The sequence below is a fragment of the Homo sapiens genome, chromosome 2 (genome assembly GCF_000001405.40).
Source record: "Homo sapiens chromosome 2, GRCh38.p14 Primary Assembly".
NCBI lineage: Eukaryota > Metazoa > Chordata > Mammalia > Primates > Hominidae > Homo > Homo sapiens.
Genome location: NC_000002.12, coordinates 186909880 through 186911972, shown reverse-complemented (window position 1 = coordinate 186911972; position 2093 = coordinate 186909880). Strand labels below are relative to the sequence as shown.

Genomic DNA, 2093 nt, shown 5'->3' with positions numbered 1-2093 from the left:
CAAATAAAGGGGAATTGAAGTAGAATAAAAAGACAATTTATTTGTTATGATACTCAATCTTCTTTTTCTTTCACTTACAAAGCTAAACTTTATTGACACTGTCACAGGCCTCTGGGTTGAGCCCTGACTAACTTTTGGGTTCTGGGGTGAAGAAGGGCCCCAGCCACTTCCTCCATTTGCCTGGCCTGGGCCTCTGCTGGCTGAGGAGGGACAAGGTGAGGGGACTCCACGGTACTGACACTAGAACCAGGGCCTCCCTGGCATTCCAAGGTAGGGTGGGAGCCTGAAGCCCACCGTCCTCACAGCCTGTGTAAACGTCGAACCGGGACCCCCCAGCGGGTTGTGCCAAGGGCTTTTCTTGTCACCCAAGACCAGTGGAGGTTGGCTGCTCCTCCTCTAAGAACCTGAGACAATGAGAGAAGGCAGCTGCTACCATGAAATACAGACACTCTAAAAGACAGACTTGATGAGGACCAAGCTGTTAAAGGGCACAGAGGAGGCAGGCTCTGCCACCCACAGCTTCGTTGGCTGTCCTTGCCTCCGCTGCTCTTCTGGCTCCTCTATTGAGTTATTGGTATATTAAAGACAGTAACCATGTGTTATTGTTTCCCACAATTCCTGATACTGACACAAAATATAATCCATTGAGTGGCCAAGCAAAAACTTTGCCTGGGAATTTCTTCTACGTGGTGTCCCAGACTTGGTTTATATCTATAGTTGCCTTTGCAGGTTATGTTTCTATTGCATAATACCTCCCCTCACGGTAAAACTCTGACATAACCACATAGCATACAACATCTTTTATCTGACACTAGCCTGCCTATCTGACTGTCTCCTGCCACTTCCTGCATCACGTATCACTCTTCAGAATAGTCTCTACTCTCCAGTGATTCTAAACAATTCTAAGGATGTTCCCCAGTATGCCAAGCTTGCTCCCCACTCTTCAGCTTCGCACATGTTCTTCTACCTGCTGGAATCCTTCCATCATCGTCTCCACCTGAGGAGCCCCTACTCATCCCTCAGATCTCAGCTGAATTGCTGTGACTTTTCCCAGAGCTCACTAAGCAGTACAGAATGCTTCTCCTCTGCTCCCTCTAAATGTTTCACTGACCCTCCATTGTATCAATTACTTCACTGAATTACAGTTTTGAAGTTTCTATTGATATATATTCTCAGCTCAGAGATTGTCCTTCCCTGGCACACAGAGATTTCTATTGCAACTGACATCAGAAAAAGTCAAGTAGAACACGATGAGAAAAGACCAGTCTTGTCTATCTGTTCTTTTATTTTGCTACATCACCTTATTTTATATCCGAAGGTGCTCTCAAAACAAACAATTCTGTAATACTGGCATAACAAAGCCTAGTGGGTAAGTATGCTGGCTATAAAGTTCAAGAACTCAAACTCCCAATATCCCAAAATCAACATTTTTGAAATATCTAATCTTAAGTAAGGTACCTAAACTATTTAATAAGTAAAATAAGAAAAATAATCGCTAACATTTATTGAGTATTTACTGTATCCTAGGCATTGTTCATACGATAACTAATTTAATCCTCCTAGCAGCTCTGTGAGCTAAGTGTTGTTACCCTACTTAAACTAAAGCACAAAGAGGTTTGATAACTTAATCAAAGTCACACAACTTATAAGTGGTAGAGCCAGAATTTAAACTCAAGCAGACTGGCTCCAGAACCCACAATATTGCCATAATGTGATGATTAAAGAAGATAATGCAGGTACCCAGCTAAATACTATATAGTAAGGTACATAGTAAGCTTTCTGCAGATGACAGTTATGCTTATTATCATGTTAAGAGTTCAGTTTTAGCTCCAATACCAAGTATTGACAATTCTGTATTTTTATTTAATGCTGAAAGTGATGAATTGGGAATTGCTTATTTAAAGTTGGCACTAAAAGGTATTCAAATGTGTACAGCATTAGAAATATGTCCAACTAATCCAGTCCAATTAAATCTTAATCTAGAGGCCAGGTGTGGTGGCTCATACCTATAATCCCAGCACTTTGGGAGGTCCAGGCGGGTGGATCACTTGAGCTCAGGAGTTTGAGACCAGCCTGAGCAACATAGTGAAATG

General features: G+C 42.1%; 1 annotated feature.

The window, feature by feature from the left end:
* Window positions 296-796: an enhancer, noted in NCBI's record as "H3K4me1 hESC enhancer chr2:187775904-187776404 (GRCh37/hg19 assembly coordinates)". NCBI's record gives its function as "activates a minimal SCP1, AML or CMV promoter by ChIP-STARR-seq in primed H9 embryonic stem cells {active_cell/tissue: H9 hESC(primed)}" and the evidence as "EXISTENCE:reporter gene assay evidence [ECO:0000049][PMID:30033119]".